This window comes from Homo sapiens, chromosome 13, assembly GCF_000001405.40.
Source record: "Homo sapiens chromosome 13, GRCh38.p14 Primary Assembly".
Lineage (NCBI taxonomy): Eukaryota > Metazoa > Chordata > Mammalia > Primates > Hominidae > Homo > Homo sapiens.
The window spans coordinates 87,613,419-87,638,425 of NC_000013.11; the positions used below are offsets into that span (position 1 = coordinate 87,613,419).

Below are 25,007 nucleotides of genomic sequence, written 5' to 3' on the forward strand. Positions count from 1 at the left end.
GTTTATAAGCAATGGAGGAAATTTCAATGGAGCTGAAAAAATTTACACTGCGTGCTGTTAAGAGTGTTGGAAATGACGTGTGATACATCCTTAACATGTCTGACACATGGTGATGGCTCAGTAATTGGTGGCTGTGATATTTATAATTAATATTTATCTGTATATTTCAGTATTTTTCACTATATGATAATGCCTAGAAAGATGAATAAGGTTCAAGTAAATAGAAAGGATAACCTCAATAAGAGAGGTTAAATTATTTTTCAAACGTAGGCCTATTTATGTCATGCTGAAACCAATAAACTTAGCTATGTAGAATAGTAATGTTATTTTGGGGGACAATAAACTAAAATTGCCATTGAGGCATTACATATGACTCACTACTGTAATTACGATAACATTTTTATTTTTTATCAAAAAAAATTTCCAGGAGTAGTAAATAACATTATGGAGGTTATCATTTCTACTTAGTTGAACCTTATTCAAAATACAAATCTCCACAATTTATGTTGTAAAGGTTATAGTGTTTGTCACGTAACCTGGAAAATTTTAATTGACATGGGTCATCACAGCTCAATACATTTAAGAAAAAATCTTGAATTCCTAATCTTATTCATTTTAGTCACTGTCCTAATCTAACTCCTGAAATTTAATATTAATCCTTTACCCCCACAAAATGACTTAGCATCCTTAAAATTTCAATATTGCATTTTCTTATTTGGATTGAAGTTTAGATCTATTTAGAAAGTAGTCAGCCTGAAAGGCTGCTTTTTCACCATTTGCTTATTTTATTTGCATATTTACCTCTATAAAGGGATTACAGCTCACAATAGACATAGCAGTTACAAATGTAAATATAAATTGGTATTTTTATTAACAAGAATAAAATTTTCTGTCAATTTGATTAATAATTTGGTTACCAGTTTGGTGTTCTGAAAATCTAAACTCAGAAAAAATTAATTTCAGAAGGATGATTACAGCAAACTACAATTTGCTGTATATTTCAAGATAGCTAGAACAGAATATTTTAAATGCTGTCACCTGTCACATAAAAATGACAAATGTTTAAAGTGATAGATATGGTAATTATTCCAATTTGATCGTTATATTATCGACATGCATTGAAACATCACATTGTACCCTATAAATATGTACAATTATTATGTCAATTATAAATTTGAAAATTAAAAAAATTTTCCTGAAGAACATTACTTCAATAAATCATAGACACAGAGAAAAAAAACATAATTTTATATTTCACATAGTGCTGTCTTTAAATGCTACAGTTTCCAGGAGGCACAGTTCAGCTAAACAGTGCATTTTAATTACAACATATATTAAATATAAAGAAAATATCCTGATAATATACTTATTTATTAACTCATACTATCCTCTTCTATAAATTTTGCTTATATACAGGTAATAAATATGCACATGTAAATTAAAACAAATAAATCAAATGAAAGGGAAATAACCTTCTCAAACCAAGATGAAGGTAGGAAAAAGTAAATTTTAAATTAATACATGAAGAGAGTAAAGAAGTAATAAATCTGCAATTAAAGTTCAATTCTGAGATCCTAACTAGGTGAATCAAAGAGTGAAATGTAAGTAGGCATATAGCACAACATATTTGACTTGAAATTCTATTGAAGACCTCAACAATTATAATCTTAGTAATAGGATGTCAAGCCTGTAAAGTTTTCATTATATGGTATATTCTTAGAAAAAAAGTAGAATAATACATAGAAAGCAACCTTTACAAGGAGGTAACATTATCTATAAAAGGAAGGCAGCTTCCTCAAGAATATTATCCACCCACTTCCCAACCTGAAGTCCCAACATTTAAGGTGATGTGACAATTTATATGTCAGGGAGAAAAAATCACATTAAATAATTTCCCAAGTGCGAGGGCTTCCAACTAGGAAATTATAGGAATGGGAAAGAGTGTAAGTAACTTTAAATGTAATAATAATATTTCAGTGATATATTATTATTTCTTTCTGTGCAGGAAGAGCAAGATCTCTTTTAGAGACAGGGAAGCTTGACAGGGGAGAAAAAGGCTGGGATATTTTGGAATAATGTAGACGGCATCTTATAAACAAATCGATGGAAACAGGAGTTGCTGCTGTTGATCCTTTTGCTCTTACCATTGTTTTCTTCCCCATAGAGTTAGTGCAGAATCCCCATTCTTATATTTCATTATTCATTCCTTTGTTATAGTCTCAGAGGCATCATTTTTGATCAGATGACTTTAATCTCAGAGATAGGTGCTATATCCTCACTTCAGACATCCTATTTGCTGATTCCTTAATGGCAATTTTTTTTTCTCTTAACCACACCCTAAAACGAAGTAAAAATAAATACATATAAAAAATTCTGAAACACCACAAATTATTAAATAATTGAAAATAATGAGCAGAGATTTAACAATTTAACCAATTTTAGGAGAATTTGATATAATCAATTCAAGCCCTGATACTTAATATAAGATTCTCCCCGGTCCCCAAAGAGCAAAATCCTTTAGAATAGTGATGGCATGTTCCATTTGATACCTCCATCACATGGCAAAATACTTGATTTAATAAACATTGCAGGTTGAATAAATATTATGTTAAAAAATTAAAAAAAAAACAGAAAAGGGAAACTGTCTATAGTGTTGTCATGGTAACAAATGAAATAATTGAAACTCATAAATTCATTTCTCTGTGGTGATGTCTTCATTGAAAAAATTTCCAAGAGTAGTATATAATTCCTGTTTGAGAAGAAATTACTTACTTATTTGATGCACTAGCATATTTGGCCTTAAAATAATATTTTCTTTTTTTCTTCAGTGTATGTGTTTTTTGTTGTTGTTGTTGTTTTCTGTTCTCAAGTTCTAATAAATTTATTGAGAGGTAAATAATATTAGGATAACAGGAGCTCCTAAAAATGTGCTGATTGAAAGAATGACATAATGTTAAACAAGTAGTTTGAACTACATACTTGGAAATAATTATTCTAATTTAATAGATATTTTTCTTTTCTTCCTTTATCTTGCACTTGTAAAAGGGAAAAAAAGATATATGATTCAATGAACATATATCTCCAACTTGATGAACTTATGGACATTTTTGACATGAAAAAGAATTCCAGCTGATCCAAGTATCAACTTAAATTACATTATGATATTAATTAAATACTTAAAAACATAAATCTTGGGATGAACTCTAATTGATTCTTTGAATTTATAACTATAAAGCCAAAGAGAATTTATAAGCTAAGCACAAGCAAATTATAAACCCATAAAATTAAAATTAACAACATAAATTTGAGATAATAGAACATGTGTTGTTAACAGTAAATTTCCAACCTCAATTAAAATATGATATGATTGTTGTGATAAAGTTTTCTGTTGAGTTTCACAGGCCTAGTCAACCCTAAGCCATGAAATTACTTGATTTCTCATTTTACTCACATTAAAATGCTACCAAACTTTTGTTTCTATAGTGTCATCGGCGTGTAATTTGGGCTTCACTTGGGACAAATGTATTACATATGTAGCTTCTCTATCTCATTTGTTCATTAACTTCTCATCATACAACTCGGAGCCAAAAATATCATAAACCCAAAGGCAGCCATGGCACTGAAATAACCGATCTGTATTGTATCTGATAAAGAATATGCTTATATAAGGTTATTGTGAAATTATTATCAAAATAGAAAGATAAAACTAAAATAAAAATTTTAGTAGAGAACTTGTGGAACGTAAAAAAGCAATACTTTCAAAAACCTTCTCGCATCCATAGTAGCAAGTTTGAGAAACACTACATAGTAGACACGGAGAAAAACTAGTTTTCATACAAGTACTTTTCAAGAAACTTTTTAATTTCACCACAGAACAATTTAAGTTTATGAATTAGAAACTCGAACCCATATTTTCCAGAAAAAAAATGGTAAAATTATAGTTTTGCACCCAGACCTTTACAACACAATTTAATTTATCTTGTAATATAGCTGAAAACTCTATTTTCAGTAGACAGTAGAAATTACTTCAGCAAAGTCTCTATTTTATTTTCAATGTATGAATATCAATTATGTAAATTCCTTCATGGTAGTTTCTGGAGGTATTGTAATAAGAATAATTAAACAAAAGCTCAAGAGTAGTACTTGACAGGATCTTTTTAAAATTAATGTTGAATGCAGGTGCCTGAGGAAAAGTAAATTTAAGTATTGAAGTGGAAGATACAGAACTTCTGTCAAAATGCTGAAAGGACCTGGTTACAAATGGAGGCTTAAAATGTTTATATTACTGATTGTTAATTATGTCTAATTTACTTAGAAAGTTAAGTCTCATCTGGGCATGGTGACTCTTATTCATAATCCCACCATTTTAGGAGGCTGAGGCAGAAGGATCACTTGAGCTCAGGAGTTTTAGATCAGCCTGGGCAAAATGGTGAAACCCTGTCTTTACAAACATTAAAAAAAGAAAAAAAATCAGTCAGGAGTAGTGATGTGTGCCTGTAGTCCCAGCAACATGGGAGGCTGTGTTGGGAGGATCACTTGAGCTTAGGAGGCCAAGGCTGGGCTGCAGTGAGCCACGATTGTGCCACTGCACTGTAGCCTGGGCAACAGAGTGAGACCCTGTCTTCAAAACTAAACAAAACAAAGACAAAGAAAGAACTATTGTTCCTAAAACTAGCCTGAAGCTTGTCGTCTATTATTGAGTTCTTATTTTAATCAAATAAAATTAGTACATGCCATTTTTTCTTAGTAATCTCCTCACAGCACTAGGAAAACTTCACTCTTTCAGACATCTCAAATATTTCTGACATTTTCCTTTTCTAAAACAAAACATGTTTATTACAAAACATACCATAACATAGACAGTCATATCTATAAAATGATGGAATTCTGCCATTAATGGATACTATTATATCTATCTTACTATTATGCCTCAAGCCATGCCAAGATGAAACATTTAGTATCTTTTTTTTCTTGATCTCAAACTCAGGGTGCTTCAGGTAAGGGGTAAATACTTTTCTATGTGACTGTAACCTAAACTTCCACAAGTCATCAAAACTACGTAAAAACGAATTCACATGTGTGGTAATAACATTACTACATCACATTTTTTACTGGCTCTTGTTTTCAGAAGCTTGCAGAGACTCTGTACTTTTGCAAATGTCCTCCCTGTTGTTGTTGTTGTTGTCATTGTTGTTGTTGTGGTTGTGGTTTTTAACTCAGGAGACTTTTTGCATGTGCTCACAAATAAGTTCAAGAAACTACTACCTCAGCCATTATGCGTTTGATCTACACTTTAGCTTCTGGGCAGTACTTTCTCTCCTGGGCTCTGCTATTGCCTCTACTGGAAAGCACCATATTATTAAGGCAAAAGTTTAGTTTTATGAAGGTGTCACTGCTTCTTCCAGACACAGGCGCCATTTGCATTAGGGATCATCTTGTGTATAAGTTATTAGGGATTGTCTTGTGTATAAGTTATCTTATCACTCTGGCTGCTCCTGACAATGTTGAATTTTACCAGAAACCTGTACTCCTGGAAAACAGCAAAGGTTAAAAAATCCCCCCAGTCTTGTGTCTTCCAGGAAATGGTTCACTGCAAAGAACCACACTTCTTCCTACGACTTATATAAGATTTATGGGTGCCTTCCTTATTTACCCATGACAAAGCTGGACACAGATCTTCTGAATTCCTATTCTTTGAGTCATATAAAATTAGTTGATGAGCAGTCAGGCACCCATCTTTGGTTGATGAACTTAGATTCCTATGTCTTAATCTCGATCAAAAAGTGTTCTTTAGGGAAGAATTTTGAGATATTTGGAACCGAATTCAATGTTTTACAAACGTACCTCTTATGTTTTTATAGCATCTATTGATATGCTATTCTAAGATGAGGACAAACACACCAATATAATTTAGTAAATAGTAGTTGATAAAAGTTCTATATCCACACAGCTATTTTAAGTGAGTCAGTTGCATCCTAAAGGAAAGAGAAAAAAATATTTAGAGCAAAAAGAAAGACAGATCTTTCTTTTTTTTTTCTGTCATAGCTATACGTTCTCTGGCTGACATACACTCATAATTCAGTATGTACTTATTGAATAAAGTCAGGAAGTTGTTGTGTAATGTAATGATATAATATGCTTCAGAGAATGAAAACAAACCAATTCTATATTACAAATCTGAAAATGGACAACCACTGGCAATAGACTTTCTATGTCATAAAAGTAAAGAAAAATATAGTTGGGTCTATTGTAGATTAATAGAGATTTAAGAACCAACACAACCAAATACAATGTGTGATTCTTGATTGACTCCAGGTGTGAGCAAATCAGCTATAAATACACTTTTAGAATATCTGAATATGCTCAAATATAGAATTTGTGGGTATTTTGTAATATTATGTGATTTGTCTCAATTATTTTAGCTGTAATAATAGCACTGCAGCAAAATTTGAGAATATTAATTTTTGGAGATATATGCTTGAAGTATTTAGAATGAAGTACCAATGTATCTATAATTTACTTTAAAAAGAACATATACCTAGTGATGCAAATATAGAAAAATAGAAACAGCTTTTGCATATAGACTTGGGTATAGAGTGTATTACACTCTGTATTTTTCCAAATGTGTAATAGAATGTCCATGCCTATCGTAAAAAAGATAGAATAGAAGGAAAATAAAATATTTGAATAAATAAGATAAAAATAATAAAGTATCTATATACCTACCACTTGCTCATTTCAAAAAGGAAAGACACTTAAAAAGTTTCCTTAACACACGTGAAGCTTCTGAGAGTAAGGGAGACAACAACGCCTCCTCTAGACAAAAATGTCAGAAGGAGAGCTCTGCAAATGCCTCCCTAGCCAAAGTAAGGTGAATGGTGTAGTTAGCCAAGGAGCAAGATCGGCATGTTCTCAAGGGCTAGCATCCTATTTTCCCTGAAATCTGTACCAAAATATCTTTAGTCCTTTAAAAAATACCAAAATTAGTTTTAATAAAAAATCCATGAGTTACTTAATATTATTCTATTGGTAAATATTTTTATAAACTTACAATAATTTCATAATAAAATTTTATGGTATAGATGTGTGCATGTGAGTGTGCGTGTGTATGTGAGTGTGTGTGTGTGTGTGTGTAAGTGATTGTTTCCTTAGGATAATTTCCTACTAGTAAAATTGCTGCACAAAAGGTCTGAACATTTTTGCATTTCTTAATTAAGGTTACAAAACAACTTTCTAGAAAATACAGACATAGTCATAAATGGAAATTAGCACAGTGGCTACCAAATATGCAACTTGCAATATGTAGGCATTACACAAAGAAAATGATATGCCTGGTTTTCTTATTTCATGCTCTAGCCCTATTAAGTAAGTAGACTTTACTACTAACACTTAACAGAATAAGAAAATAAGGCTTTAATTGTTTAGGTAATTTAAGTGTACACTGAAAGAAAATTATACACAGTTATCTATGTTAATTCTTCCCATCAAAATATATTTGATTTCTATCAACAGTTCTTGGAATATGCACCATTTCAACAGTGCATCTTATGGTTTTTAAGGGCTAATATAAGTGAAAAACTGTGTCTTACTGTTTTAAAGGTTGAGGATCTGTGTGTCTTCATTCATGGTTGCCTTTTTCCATCTTAATCACCTCCTCCACCTCCACTTGGACATCCATATGGTTCTTATGAATTTACAGCTGATATGTCTAAATTATTAATCTTTTATTTGACCTATGGGCTAAAAATATTAATTTGTCTATACTGTGAATTGAAGAAAAATCATGTATATGTTTAAAAATAGGAGCTGTTCGTCTAAATCCAAAAATAAATATAAAAACAAGGAAATTAATTATAAATAATTCATATGGAAATAAAATGTGTAAAAAAGTTCACTTTGTAGATAAAATAAAATTGAAGTTAAATTACCTGGACTTCTTAGTTTAAACAATACTTTTATAACTGCTTATTGGATATATTTTTATAGATTTTTAATATTTATTTCAAAGTATTTTAGGGAAATATATTAAAGTTTTCATAATGTTTTAATACTTTTTCATTTGTTTCATGGTTTTGTCTCTCTAGCAAAAATGAAGATACAGACGAACAAATTGCTAATGTATTTGGCCAATACAATTATTCTGAAAAACTTGGTTACAAAACAGCTCAACCAAATGAATATCATTTTCAGTTTAATGTCATTGTTGATGTTGATGTATATTTAGTGAAAATCTACTCAGAAATTCTCACAGAATATAATGTAGATCAGACAACAAATAAATGATAATTCCAATATCTTGATCTTGTTTTGTATTATCTTCTGAATTTAATAGTCACTATTTTTTCCAACATATCTCTGATTTTCAGGCCATTATCTTGAAAAAGGTTCAAGTACAGTCAAGCAGTAATAAATGTTCTTAGGATATTTTACATCTTAGCCTAGAAAACTGCATCCCACTAGACTAGTCATTCACTTGAGTCATAAATTCTTTTAGGGGAATTTGTAAAAAGGAGAGCTAGGACGAATGTTTTTCTCTTCTGTAACATTATTCATATTTTGCAAAAGAGAAATTTGGGCTTTATTTTGGTTGATTTTATTACACTTAGGCAGGTTGCAGTGAATCCTGTTCTTCATACAATTGATTTGTGAAGAGAGGTATAAAGTTCACGTAAGGAGTAAAAAGCTCATAAATCTTGATAAGTCTGAAAATGAAACAAATGTCTAAAAACAAATAAGTCTACCAGAATCCAGGCTTTTATTTTCATAATAATATGTATGTGTATCTTTTTAATTTGTGAGAGATGGATTCAGAAGTATTGTAAAATGTAACTTCAGAAGAACATTTATTACAATATTTCCTCAGAGGGGAAAAATAGGGCTGTAATAATCCTGATCTTATATCAAGTCATTCTATGAAAAAATTGAGTTCATGTTGTTTATTAATTATTAAAATGCATAGTTTTGGCAACAACGTTATAACAACATGAAAGAAAGATAATTACATTTAAAGTAATTCAGTGTGTGGCTATTGTACTCTTGACTCAGTCACAACATATTACTTGTCTGCAGGGGCAGGTGAAGAACAAGTTGCACTCATCTGGTACTATAAGCCTTAACTTGCCCTTTTATATCTCTCTCACCTTGAAAATCCATCTTTCTCTCCTACTCTTATCTAAATCTATCTGTTGCAAATAAGTTTCTCCCACAGGTCTGATTTCTCAGGGAATGCTCCTTTCTCTGAAACCCAGTAAAATTGTAAAAATTTCAGGGTAACAAAGGAGGCTCTCTTTTGTGAATGCTATTTTTATTTACTAGGTAAGCAAATTGATATAATATGGAGAGTGCATATTCTTGTATTACAACAGATCTGGAATCTAATTCCTGTTATTTTACTTACTAGTCTTGTGACCTCACACATATCACAAAATTTATATTAGACTCTGTTAAGATATCTAGATGTTGTGAATAAAAATCCTTATTTTTTAGGCTTGTGGCAACTTTTACTTTCGCATGTTATTTCACCACTGAAATTATATTTGATTTCTAGATAGAATATCTGAATCCTCAACCACCCATTTTCTAGAGCCATAAAATCAAAAGGGAGATAGCCAGAGGATACAGAGAAGTAGTGTACACATTCCAATTCTAGCTATGGCTTTTGTCCAAGCCCCAGTGGATTCATGAGTTGGGTTAGTCTATTATATAAAGCTTTCAGAACTCCTTTCGCCTAGACCACTGGCAAGCTTTAGAACAACACTAAAAGCTTCACTAATGGGTTTCTTGGCCCATTTTCCACAGTTCTTTCCTTTAATCATGGCTCTCCAAATACTATGACTCTAATGGTGAAGAGACAGCAAAAAGAGCTGTCTCCAAGGAAAAAACTCTACAAAGACAAAAGGGAAAATCAATGCTTCCCCAACTCAGTCTAAAACTGAGTCACATGCCCCCAACCTTCTTTGAGTAGGGTCCCTTCTTTGTTGTTAATTATATAGTCAGTAATGTGTTTGTAGATGGAACTCCAAATTACACGTCCAATGGTCATTAATCACATTTTTGAAAAGTTCCAATTTTATGCAAAGTGCAAATTCTACGCTCTAGGATGTTGAATCCTAGATAAGATAGGTTATTTTGCACAAAAAATGTACAAAGTAGGACAAAATTTTAAATTATATTAAATATTATAAGATAAATAACTAGATACCATGGGAGAGAAAAAACAGGGAGATCCTCTATTGGGTAATATGTGTAATTGCTTCTGAGCAAGATATATTTACTATATATACTTAGTAAGATATATTTACGAAGCAGAAAGACAGAAGCACAAAACCACAAAACAGAGAATAAATTTTAAAAGAACTTTCTAGAACCTTAACCAAATTATATCCTTGAATTACTTACCCTAATGAGCACAACTAAATCTCTAGGAAAAGAAAAAGAGAAGCTTAACAGTATCAGTCTTCTTTTTCTCTTTCATCTTTTTGGGGTTTCTGCCTCCCGGATGACTTCCTTTAGCCTTTTAACAAACAGCAACATTACTGCTCCTCACTTCTCTGCATCATTTTCTTCTTCAGTTATTTTCTGATATCTTGAGTTTCCCAAAGCAAGTTTGTAGTTTAGATATTTCAACAGAGAGCATTTCCATACTATTGACCCCAGATTAAAAATTCTGCCCATGACTTTTCCTATGAGTTCTAGATGAATTTAGCTAACTTTCAACTTGCCATTTTGACTTAGTTGTCACAAAAAAATCAGAATATTAACATATAAGAAAATGAAAGTATATATTTCAATTCCACCCTATAAGAAAACTTTTTCTCTTTTTCAGTAATGATACCACTATATACCTAGTTAGTCAATCCAAAAATCTAAGTCCAGGCTCTACAGTTACTATCTTGCCCAAGCCAACACCAAATATTTCTTAGGCCATTGTAATTGCCTCCTAACATAGGATCTGCCTCTACTCTTACCACTTCCCAGTTTATTCTCCAAACACTACTACATATATAATTTGAAACAATGATTAGATTATGCCACTTGTAGCAGAAACCGCCAGTTTTCCAATGACATTCATTTTACCTTTGTTGTTGATAGAACCACTAGGTTTGTGTTAGACACATTGTTTCCCAGCTAAAGACTAAGCACTCCATCTTCTATTGCAGGTTATTATAACATATGACTACATATGACTAGTATTGTCCAATTAGAGGGGAGCGAGGTAATGTCTGCTACTTCAGGATGCAATTAAAACAAACATGACATATACTCCCTTGGTCTTTACTCATTGGCAGGGAAGTATTATTTCCTACAGTTGACCAGAAATGAAAGCCATCTTTTGGGAATTACCGTTCTTTGGAGCCTCGGTACCAGATGAGGCCTATGTATGTCTGGACTCTTGCAATGAGAACAAACAACAACAACATATATATATATATGTATACATGTATATATATACGTATACATATATACGTATATATGTATACGTATATATATACATGTATACATATATACATATGTATACATATATACATATATATGTATACGTATATATGTATACACATATATACGTATACATATATACACACATATATAAAACTTTGTAAAATGATTACATATTTGATTACTTTGTTATATTAATTTAGTCTAAATTCTACCTGTGGAAGACTGTATTTTCTTAAAAATGACCATAATATGATGTTCTATTGTACTTTCACTTACAATATGACCTTGACAATTCTCCTAACAAGAGGTGAGGGTCTGTGTTGCCTTCTCCTTAATCCTGGGGGTCTTATGTCTATGTCTTATGCTATGTGACTTCTAAGGCTAGGTCATCAAACTGGACATGGTTCTATTGGGATACTCACTCTTGACACCCAGCCACCATGATGTGACAAAGCCCAAATTAGCCCACATGAAGAGACCACAATGAGAAGACCTTGAGACTATAAGAATGGTGATATGGCCAGCCCCAGTTCACCTGCTGTTCCAGCTCCAGCTATACCGGACTGCCAGTGCAGGATAAGCCCCAAGTTCAATTAGCTGTTATTGTCCCATAGTAGCCTTACAATGATCTCAAGTTGTAGTAAAGCTTACCTCAATGAGATTTCTGGTTGTGGCTTCTACCTAATTGAGTGAGCAGCAATAAAACTCAAAGAATGCCTATAAATGATTCTGGTGAAAGCCCTGCCAAATTAGACTGAAAGAAACAAAGACAGTACAAGATGAAAATAGGCATTTAAACTCCTAAACTTTTGTGGTGAGAAAACTACTCAGGAGCGAACAGAAGCTACATTTTATGGAAAATAAAATAAGTTTCAGAAGGTAGAACAAAGATCCAAAAGAAGGACACTATAAGCCAGTAAGAATAACCCTTGGAAAGCAACACTGTGACCCAGTCAATAAACTAGCCATATATATATACATATATATGGAGAGAGACAGCGAGCCATATACACACACACACACACACACACACACATACATACACACATATATATAGAGATAAAAATTAATAATAAACTAGCCATATATATATACGTGTATATATATATACACGTATATATATATATACACGTATATATATATATATATAGAGAGAGAGAGAGAGAGAGAGCACGATGGAATCTGCGTCTGCTCTGTCGTCCAGGCTGGAGTGCAGTGGCATGATCTCGGCTCACTGCAACCTCCACCTCCCATGTTCAAGCAATTCTTCTGCCTCAGCCTCCCGAGTAGCTGGGTTTACAGGTGCATGCCACCACGCCCGGTTAATTTTTGTATTTTAGTAGAGACGGGGTGTCACCAGATTGGCCAGGCTGGTCTCGAACTCCTGACTTTGTGATCCGCCTGCCTCAGCCTCCCAAAGTGCTGGGATTACAGGCGCGAGCCACTGCACCTGGCCTTTAAATATTTAGCAATATTTTTTAGCTGGATTTAAAGATTACTATGGATAAGGGACTGGGCTTCCTTTTTACTCACCCCCTTCAACGACAATTGTAATTAGCCTATGTCTGTCCAACCAATAAATTTTGGGTATGTTGAGGGAAGAGAGCTTGCCTCTTTATTTCCTATAGCTTTATTTCAAAGGAGAACTGTACTCAAGGAGACATACCCAAGGAACAGCAACTAAAGGGCATCATCCATATATATATACATAATTTAGATGATGAGATCTCAGTCGTTGATTTTCTTCCTGATGCTGTAATGGCACAAAAATCCTGGGGTTTCTTGGTGTGACTATATATTGAATGTGGGAGAAATGTAAATAATTGGGGGTCAGAAGAGAGTGTGGTCCCAAAATTATTTAATATTCCTTCCATTGAGAAATACAGTCTATGCCTCTCCCTGAAATGTGGACTCTGTACACATAATCAATAGTGTCAGATAAAAATGATGTGCCAGTTCCCAGAACAAGTATAAAAGAAACTGCTAGTTTCCACTTTCTGTCTCCTGGGAGGCTCACCTTATGTCCAGCTACCTTGTCGTCAAGCCCAGAGAGTGCAGCAGAGAAGCCTTTCTGAGGAAGTTCACGTGGAAAGGAACAGAGGCTTCTGCCCCTCAGCACCAGCTGAGTTTCTAGTCAACTGCATTAATTTGCACCCGTGGAAGAGAGATTTCTTTTTCAAGTGGAATCTCCCAGCTCCCAGTTGAGCTGATGCAGATGATGTGATGAAGCAAAGATAAGCCTTCATTTCACCAAACTGCAGATTGGTGAGCCAAAGAAAATATTGTTTTATGCCAAAAAGCTTGGGGTGGTCTGTTAAATAACAAGAACTCTAATTATCCATAATTTATTTTCTTGTAACCTTCCCAAGATTTCCCAATGAATTAAAAAACAAACAGAAGCTCAGGTTACTTACCAGAGACTAACAGGTCCTTCTTGATCTCTGGCCACATTTGCAAACTAATTTCCTTCTGCATTCACCATCTTTTACTATTCTGCAGGTCTGTAAAGTTTATGTTCTTCAAATCAATCCAATGTTCAGCAAACTCACAAGCTTTGTTTTGCTAGATTTCTCTAACTGTTTTACTTAAATTTGTTCTTCTTACAGTCCTTACCTTATACAGTGCCCACTTTTAATTAATTATTTTTTTGACAGGGTCTCACTCCGTCACCTGTGCTGGAATGCAGTGGCACAATCTTGACTCACTGTAACCTCCATCAACCAAGTTCAAGAGATCCTCCCACCTCAGCCTCTCAAGTACCTGAGACACAGGCACACGCCATCATGTCTGGCTAATTTTGGTGTATATATACACATATATACAAATATATGTATATATATGTATATATATACACATATATACATATATACACATATATATGTATACATATATGTATACATATACGTATATATGTATACACATATACACATATATATGTATACACATATACACATATATATGTATACACATATACACATATATATGTATACACATATACACATATATATGTATACACATATACACATATATATGTATACACATATACACATATATATGTATACATATATACACATATATATGTATACATATATACACATATATATGTATACATATATACACATATATATGTATACATATATACACATATATATGTATACATATATACACATATATATGTACACATATATACACACATATATACACATATATATGTACACATATATACACATATATATGTACACATATATATGTATACATATATACACATATATGTATACATATATACACATATATGTATACATATATACACATATATATGTATACATATATACACACATATATGTATACATATACACACATATATGTATACATATACACACATATATGTATACATATATACACACATATATGTGTACATATATACACACATATATGTGTACATATATACACACATATATGTGTACATATATACACATATATGTATATATGTGTATATACACATATATACGTATATATGTGTATATATATACACATATATACGTATATATGTGTATATATATACACATATATATTTTGTAGAGACAGGGTCTCACCATGTTGCTCAGGCTGGTATTGAACTCCTGGGCTCAACCAGTCTGCCCTTCTCTGCTTCCCAAAGTGCTGGGATTACATGTGTGAACCACTGCACATGACCCACTTTAAATTTTTTACAACATTTATTACTATTGCAATTAACTACATTTATTCATGTATTTGTTATCTGTCTCTACTACTGGAAGTTATCGTCTATGTACCAGGGACATTATCTGCCTATTCTCTGCAAATTCCCTAAAGCCATGTGTGACATATTAAGTGCTAAAAATACATGAATTAAATACTGATTGAGAGATAAACATAATTTATATTTTGTTTCCCATCTATTGGTCACCTTTTCCTGTCACCTGGTGACATTGATATCTTACATAAACAGTAAAATCTGAGAATTCCAGAATTATTTCTTGTGACCACATGTTTCTGTTCATGTATGCGGGCAAAAATAAAAAGTACTTTTTAAGTCAATGATGAGTTGGGTTCTACTATGTATATAATTTTTAGATAGAACTTACATTGGATGGATTACATATGAGGAAATTTGCTTATTTTTTCTGTATTTTAGGAAAATGGAAACTAGGCATCTCTAAAGGTACCATAATCAAGACAGTGTGGAATTGGCATAAGATGGAAGTATAAGTGAATAAAACAAAGTAGAGTCCAGAACTATTTAGTTTCCATAAATCTGCTCTGGTTCATGAGGTTAGACAGTTGGTTTAGTGAATAACCAATTTTTTAAAGTACATTGGAATAGATGTTGAATCACATGGGAAATATTTGGACTTCAGTTCACTTGGTGAATGACTTTGAACAAATTGTAGATATTTACCCCTACTACTGCATCACTTTCTCCCATCAGCTGAGCCCAGGACCTAGCCTTTTTGCAAAATACCTAAATTTATGATATTTTTTCTGTTTCCTCTTAACAAGCTGCTGCATATTCCTTCAAAACCGTCTAATTCCAGAACAACTTTATAAGAACCAAATTTCACCCCAAAAATTTGTAAATAGAGACACCACTGTCTCCATTGTTTTAGCTAATATTCATTGAATGCATACATTTTGAGAACTATTTTAAGCTCTTTACTTGTATTAATAAAATTAATATATTATCTCCACAATGTTACTAGTATATAAACGAAGAAACTGAAGCATGATGAGGTTAAGTACCATAGCTCAAGAAAGCCACAAGTTTAACTGTGACTAAATTGGAATTTCTAAATTTTGTTTTTATAAATCTAAACTTCTTTCCTGATATATACATTGCTGCATTTAATTTTTTTCAGCATATCTGCACTTGCATATACTGCAACCAAAATAAATTAAAATGTACAAAAGCAATTTCATCATTTTCTCTCAAAATGAAGAAATTTGTATATTTTGTTGCATTTATTATGAAGTTGAATGACCATTGTCTTAGCCAAAAATCTGGAAGTTCTCCTTTTATTATCTTCATATTCAAACCTGTGACTAATTTTTTAAATTGCATTTTCTTACTAATTCCCTAATCAATTCAATACAAAGTATTTCTAGATCGTCCTCAGTTCAAGTGACTGTCGTTATTTGTAAGAATTGCTTTATCATACTCTGAGTTAGTTTTCTCAAATTTTCTGATATCTGGTCTATTTTGGACACTGCTGCAATAGTAATCTGCCTAATAATCAAGTTTGATCATGCCATCAAGGCTACATATAATTTTTCAATGCTTCTCCACAGTACCTTGAACAGTTAACATATTTTTAATTACTCTGTTCCTCTATTAAAGGATGAGCTCTTTGAAGGCAAATCTTTAATCTCCCATCCTAGTGCTTGATAATAATACAAAAAATTTAAAAAGTCTATTAAGGCAAGTAAAAAAATGAAGAGGATATGTGAATTAAAACTCTTCAATATAAACAGTATAGCAATTGAAAGCATCAGTCTGGCTTATTTTTTTACTATATTTTTATTGTATTTTGACAGTATCTGAAGAAAAATACAAAATAAAATGAAGGGTTCACATTAATTCATAATGGATATCTTTAAAAAATAAATGCTTCAAGGACTCATTTCTTTGATTAAATATATTTATACACAACCTGAGAGCATATCAGCTGCTGAAGTTATCCCAAATTGGAAATCTTAAAAATTATTTGAATGTTGAAATCAATGAGCAACCATATTCATTAAACCTTATCGTATAATCACTACTAACAAAATGGTATTTAAAGTTGAGGAAGACAGTTGTTTATAAAAACAAGTCAGAAAATAATATAAATTTAATAGAGATGACAATCAGTGCATAAAAAATTTATACTTTTAGAAGAACCAGATATTTTATTAATTTACGAAAAATTCAATCAGTTTTACTCATTTAGAAGAATTGGTAGAGAAAATTAGTTATTGCCGTTGAAAAATAGACATGCAAATTGGCTACTTGGTTTTCATTAACATAGATCTGAGGAAAGACAATTTTTTTTGTTTATTTTTTGGTTGCTTTCTTGATTTCTTTCTTCCTTTGCTTCTTTGTTTCTTCCTTCTTTTCTTCCTTTCTTCTTCTAATAAAAAAAGTCTTTATCCAGGTGTTTCATTAGGTTGATGGCAATGGTTAAATAATAAAGATTATTTGATCATGAAAATAAAAGATAATTTATTGAATTAGTTCATTATAATAAAAATTAAAATTATTTCTTGAAAAGCAACTCAATATTGAAGTACTCTATGCATTTCAAAAATTTCAATTTAGTTTCTCATAGCCTTAGTATATTAAAAATTAATGTAATTATACAAATTTGAGAAAGACCAGAAAATTATATAACATCAATTATAGTAACATATTTTATTGAGACTAAGTATTACTGTAATTTAATTTAATGCATTTTATCATTTAAAATGATAAATTTTAAAAATAATATTTTGTATAAAATATTTGATATTATGTAATGCGGGTAACTCCCGGAGTAAAATTACATGAAAAATAATAAGCAAAATAACTAAAATGTATTAACTTAGTAACAATTAAGGAAGTAGTAATTGATATAGTTTACCTGACAAAGAACATACTCCCTTACCTAATTTTAAACTGTAAAAGTCATCAGTATGTTTTTATTTATTTATTTATTTATTTATTATTTTTTTAATTTTATTATTATTATACTTTAAGTTTTAGGGTTCATGTGCACAATGTGCAGGTTAGTTACATATGTATACATTTGCCATGCTGGTGTGCTGCACCCATTAACTCGTCATTTAGCATTAGGTATATCTCCTAATGCTATCCCTCCCCCCTCCCCCCACCCCACAACAGTCCCCAGAGTGTGATGTTCCCCTTCCTGTGTCCATGTGTTCTCATTGTTCAATTCCCACCTATGAGTGAGAACATGCAGTGTTTGGTTTTTTGTCCTTGCAATAGTTTACTGAGAATGATGATTTCCAATTTCATCCATGTCCCTACAAAGGACATGAACTCATCATTTTTTATGGCTGCATAGTATTCCATGGTGTATATGTGCCACATTTTCTTAATCCTGTCTATCATTGTTGGACATTTGGGTTGGTTCCAAATCTTTGCTATTGTGAAAAGTGCTGCAATAAACATATGTGTGCATGTGTCTTTTAAAAACTATTATTCAATGCCTAATTTTAGTTAGAATCAGTCACATATAGAGTATCCCTTTTTCTATGCTTGAGAAGGGCTATTAGTAATGCTTTTCTTTATACTGAATTTCACACAATTTTTGCCAAGGTAATGATTAACATGGTTTTATTCTAACTTACTTCACCTTTCAAATCTATAATCTTCTTCATGGAGATTAAGAGGAAGAAACAAAGGAAAGATTATGATTTAGAAATACTATTAAGATTAGCATCTATGATATGCTAAAATCATTATACAACATTTAGCCTCTAGAAGTAATATCAATATCATCTTAAATCTCTGAAACAGCCATTGGATGATCTGATGACAGGATAATTGTCAATGTATATGTTCACATATATAAGTATGGAAATTATATAAGCAATTTATGTGTATGTGTGTACATGCCCAATTTGAAGAAACACATGGCTGTATACTCAGCCTTTTAATTCTAAGTGAGAAATCAGAGAATCTTCAAATTCTGAAGCTTAACGCTTATGTTTTACAGTGTTTCTTAAGTTATGTCAAATATACAAAATTCAGAAAGGCAAAGACTCCCTTGTTGCTAGTTTGTGAGGCAAAGTTCCAGCTAGACTCGTTGGGAAAAATAAAATGTAAATTTCCCCTCACTTTAGGGGGGATGTTAAGCGATAAGGAAAGATAAACCATCAAGAGCAAATGTGAGAAAGCGGGGAAGTGAAAAGTACATTTACAGAGTTTGGTAAGCTGATTTAATGGTTTCATGTATATAAGCAGTTGAAAGCAACTGAGACTAAGAATGCCAGGTTACCTAGGGTTCCAAATTTTGAAAAATGTTTGGAATTTATCCATCAGGCAAACCAGAGATAACAGGATTTTCGATCTCAATATTTGCGTGATCAATGTCCTACTTTAGAAGGATTCATTTGAAGGTAATATATTGGATAGATTGAATGAAAAAACTTTGGGAGGGGGGGAGGCACAAATAAATCAGCTAAAAGTTTTCTGTAATTCTCTGGATGTAAGGCTACAGACCCTTACTTAAGACTGTAATTTTTGGCAGTGGTAATAGAAAGGAAGGGACAGGTTTGAGATATTGTGTAAAATAAATGGAATGAGTCTCATGAACAATTGAAAATAATGGGCTTAAAGCTTTCATTTTTTGTTGCGTCTCAGCTAAGTTTTTGTATCACAATGATGCTGGCCTCTTAAAATGAATTAGGGTAGGAAGTAATGTCCCCTTTATCATTTCTGATTGTGTTTATTTGGATTTTCTATTTGTTTCTTTATTAACTTAGCTAGCAGGCCATCGATCTTATTTATTCTTTCGAATAACCAGCTTTTGGTGTCATTGATCTTTTGTATAATTTTTCACATCTCAATTTCATTCCGTTCAGCTCTGATTAGGTTATTAATTTTCTTCTGCAGCTTTGGGGTGGGTTTGCTCTTGTTTTTCCAGTTCCTCTAGGTGTGATGGTAGATTGTTAACTGGAGATCTTTCTAACTTTTTCATGTGGGCATTTAGCACTATAAAATTTCTTCTAACATGGATATAGCTGTGTTCCAGAGATTTCAATACGTTGTATTTTTGTTTTTCTTAGTTTCAAACAATTATCTTTCTGCCTTAATTTCATTGTTTACCCACGTCATCTGGGAGCAGCTTATTTAATTTCCATGTAAAAACAATTAAAACCCACATGATCATTTCAATAGATGCAGAAAAGGCTTTCAATTAAATTCAACATTCCTTCATGTTAAAAAAGCCTCAAAAAACTAGGGATCTAAGAAACATATCTAAAAATAGGGAGCCAATGATGGCAAACCCACAGCCAACATTATACTAAATGGACAAAAGCTAGAAAAATTCTCCTGAGAACCAGGACAAGACAAGGATGACCACTCTCATCACTCCTATTCAACATAGTACTAGAAGTTCTAGCCAGAGCAATTAGGCAAGAGAAAGTAAAAGGCATCCAAATAAGAAAAGAGGAGGTCAAGCTATCTCTCTTCACATATGATATTATTTTATACCTAGAAAACCCCACAGTCTCTACCCAAGAGCTCTTCGATCTGATTAACAACTACGGCAAAGTTTCAGTACCAAAAATCAATGTACAAAAATCAGTAGCATTTCTATACACCAATAATGTCCAATCTGAGAGACAAATCAAGAATGAAATCCCACTAACAAATAGCCACATACAAAAAAATAAAATATAGGAATACAGCTAACCAGGGAGGCAAGGTCTCTAAAATGAAAGTTACAAAACACTGCTGAAAGAAATCAGAGATGACACAGACAAATGGGAAAACATTACATGCTCATGAATAGAAATAATTAATGTTATTAAAATAACCATACTATACAAAGCAATCTAGAGGTTTAATGCTATCCCTATTAAACTATCAATGACATTTTTCGCAGAATTAGAAAAACTATTCTAAAATTCATACAGAGCCAAAAAAGAATCCAAATGGCCACAGCAATACTGAGCAAAAAGAACAAATCCAGAGGCATCACACTACCCAACTTTAAACTATACTACAAGGCTACAGTAACTAAAACATCATAGTACTGGTAGAAAAACAGATCATAAGTCAATGGTACAGATTGGGGAAGCCAGAAATAAACAAAATTGACAAAAACAAGCAATGGAGAAGGAACCCCCTATTCAATAATTTGTGTTGGGAGAACAGGCTAGTTATATGCAGAACTGGAGCCCTTTCTTTAACCATATGCAAAAATCAACACAAGGTAGGTTAAAGACTTAAATATAAAACCTAAAACCATAAAAAAGAAGATAATCTAGGAAATATCACTGTGGACATAGGCCCTATAAAAATTTCATGATGAAGGCTTCAAAAGTAACTGCAACAAAAACAAGTGTGACCTAATTAAACTAAAGAGCTTCTCCACAGCAAAAGAAACTATCAACAGAGTAAACAGACAACCTTCAGAATGGGGGAAATATTTGCAAACTATTCATCTGACAAAGGTCTAATATGCAGAATCTATAAGGAATTTAAACAAATTAACAAGCAAAAAATAAACAGCCCTATTAAAAGATAAACAAAGACATGAACAGAAACTTCCCAAAAGAAGACATACATATGGCCAACAAGCACATGAAAAAATGCTCAACATCAGTAATCATCAGAGAAATGCATCAAAACCACAATGAGATATCATCTCACACCAGTCAGAGTGGCTATTATTACAAAGTCAAAAAATAACAGATGCTGGTAAGGCTGTGGAAAAAAGGGAATCCTTATACTACTGCCATTGGGAATGTAAATTAGCCCAGCCACTGTGCAAAGCAGTTTGGAGATTTCTCAAATAACTTAAAAGTAGAGCTACTATTTCACCCAGCAACCCAATTCCTGGGTATATACCCAAAGAAATATAAATAATTCTATCCTAAAGAGACATGCACATTATATTCATTGCGGCACAATTTACAATAGCAAAGCCATAGAATCAATCTAGATGCCCAACAAGATTCTCTAGATAAAGGAAATGTGGTAAATATGCACCATGGCATACTATGCTGTTAATAAAATGAATAAAATCATATTCTTTGCAGCAACATGCATGGAGCTGGAGGCCATTATCCTAAGCAAGTTAACGCAGGAACAGAAAATCAAATACTGCATGTTCTCACTTAAAAGCGGGAGCTAAACATTGAGTACACATGAACACAGAAAAAAAGGGAGCAATGGATACTGGGGTTTACTTGAGTGTGGCGAGTGGAAGGAGGGTGAGATTGGAAAAACTATTATAGTACTTATCAGGTACTATAATCCTTAAGTGGGTGACTAAATAATCTGTACATCAAACCCCCGCAACATGCAATTAATCCATGTAACAAACCTGCCCGTATACCCCATGATCCTAAAATAAAAGTTTGAAAGAACAACAACAACAAAAAAAAAATGTAGGAAGAGTTAAATGTATCTATCACAGTTCTCTAGGGTAAGCTGAGGGATGGCAGATTTGAGCCTTCTAATAATATCCATTACTGCTCTACAAACCATCTTAAATATTAACAATATTAAATATACTTCTAATAATAATACAATTTTAATTTATATTTTTATAATTTTAGAAAAGTAGAAAATAAAGCATTTTTAAAGTTTGTGTTATTTTTTATCATTTAAAAATAATATTTAAGGTGATTTCCATGAAAAACTTTAACAAAAATTTCTTAATCTGTGATTCTTTCTTCTATGTTATTGAGCCAGTCTCTCTAAATCCTCCTGTATATAAACTCTGAAGCACCACAGATCAAGACAAGGGTGACGAACTGTGAGATTAGTGTTAGTAATAACAGGACATTCATAGCTCAATGGGTTTTATGTCAAAGGCTTTATGTCCACATTTGTAGAATTATTTTAAAGATGCATTGAGTTTGAGATGGTAAGACATAGAAATATATAGCTGGTGACTAGAAACGTAGGACTGAAGCTCAGCGTGAGGTCAGGGGAGAACTAAGACATTAATTAGAGGGTTAAATGTTGATAGGATTACAAAAACCTGTAATAGGTTATGGGAGAATGAATTACAGCAAGGCAGAAGGATACAAATCAGAGGAGCAGAAAGAAAAGAACATTGATATAAAGTAAGCTTCAAAGAGAAGAATTTCAAAATGGGGAGATGTTGATCAATGTCGAATGCTGCGGAGTCAAGAAAAATGATGATGGCACATACTATGCTGCTGTTCAACAGATACTAATTAAATATGCGGAATAAATGAGATACCATAGTAAGTTCTGAGAAATAGCTTTCAATAGATGGTGACAGACAGAAGTCAGATTTCAGCGTTTTAGACAAGATTATGTAGTAAAATAAAATAAATCCTTGAGGTCAACTATGCTGACTTATATTCTAAAGGTAGCATCTAATATGGTCTCTGGAAGTAACTTGGAGGTTAGTGAGTAATTATACATCCTGAAATAAGAAGAAAAAACAGGATGGTATTTTTTAAAAATGTATAGAAAACTACCACTTACTAAATGACTCCTGTGTGACAGTATAGTCAGTCCTCAGTACCCATGGATTCAATCAACCATGAATCAAAGTTTTTTAAAAAAACACTGTGTTTGTACTGAACATGTGCAGGTATTTTCTTGTTATTATTCCCTAAACAATGCAGTAGAATGACTATTTACAAATCATTTACATAGTATTAAAATTATAAGGAATATAGAAATGATTTAAAATATACAGAAGAATGTGCATAACTCATATGTAAATACTACACCATTTGGTATCAGGGACTTGAGCATCCGAGGATGTGGGTATCCATGAAAGGTCCTAGAACCAGCCCACTGTGTATACCTAAGGATGACTCTTCTTTGTTAGATGTGTAAATATGTTAATTTAATTAATTTTCATGAGGTTCTAAATTGATTTCATACATCAGGGAAAATTAACTTAAACATTAAAGATTGTTAGAGGTCATGAATGTTGAAATAAGAATAAAAATGTCCAAGTTTCAAAGGCTGTATCTTCTCTATTATGCATGTCAAATTTGTAGGTTCTTCTCAAGAACTCAATGAAGATATAGTGTATAGGGAGGGTTTTGAATAGGTGGCAGTGACAAATTAAGTGTCTAAGGAAAAGTAGGGCTGTCTAAAAGAAGAGGAGCACTTTGATTAGCACGTACAGAGACATAAAAAATGGTTGAAAGAAGGAGAAAATGTTATCTTATGTACAACTCCATTTTATAGCTCAGGGATGCTTTGATAATTACAGAGTTCCAGAGGGAATTAAATAAAACATTTAATTCACATAAAAGAAAATTAAGGAATAACACAATAAAGTGTGGATTCTTAGGGGAAGCTAGAAGGAATTATTGATGTACAGAAAAACTAAGAAAACAAGTGAGAGATTTTAGAAGGAAAGAAGCATAATGTGCTCCATGCATTCTTCACCATGTAATTTTCATGGAGTCTGAATTTAAGTTAAATGTGTAACTGACATGTAAAGAAAACTAACAAAGATGCCTATTAATCTGAGCACACAGTAATCTATCTCTTATACATACATAATTTTTTAAATGGCATACTTCCTTTCAAATACAGCTAACTTGTTTAAAATATTGACATATCTGTATGCCATATTAGATGAAATATATATTCATAATATTCAGCACCAATATTAATATAAATGAATTCTAGTACAATTTAACTTTTATTTCATGCACATGTAGATATCTTAAAACAGTATATCTATTTTAAATCTATTAATGTACAAAATATGTAAATCTATATTTATTTCTCTGTCAATTCTACACCAGTAATCATATCAAATATTTGTAAATCATGAGACTAAACATAATGTAAGTATAATGGTGAAGAATATCTTTATATTATAATTATA

General features: G+C 32.2%; 2 protein-coding genes, 1 long non-coding RNA gene and 1 other non-coding gene across 4 annotated transcripts in view; all 4 read right to left on the reverse strand.

The window, feature by feature from the left end:
* Window positions 1-25,007, reverse strand: part of MIR4500HG (MIR4500 host gene) — a 226,977-nt gene that overhangs the window by 169,432 nt on the left and 32,538 nt on the right. The gene's annotated exons all lie outside the window — the stretch shown is intronic.
* The window catches only part of LOC124900338 (formin-like protein 5), a 58,101-nt gene continuing 33,942 nt past the window's right edge, over window positions 849-25,007 (reverse strand). Inside the window, exon 2 of the mRNA XM_047430855.1 lies at window positions 849-2,337. The gene's annotated coding sequence lies outside the window, so the exon portion shown is untranslated. The remainder of the gene's footprint in view (window positions 2,338-25,007) is intronic.
* MIR4500 (microRNA 4500) lies at window positions 5,247-5,322 on the reverse strand. The gene has a single exon (NR_039722.1). It is a non-coding gene; the product is annotated as a microRNA 4500 (primary transcript).
* LOC124903229 (NADH-ubiquinone oxidoreductase chain 5-like) lies at window positions 8,603-15,000 on the reverse strand (the record flags this gene model as incomplete). The annotated part of the gene is made up of 3 exons (XM_047430846.1): window positions 8,603-8,702; window positions 14,262-14,495; window positions 14,564-15,000. Coding segments are annotated over 3 exons (771 nt in total), but the record flags the coding sequence as incomplete, so codon positions are not given.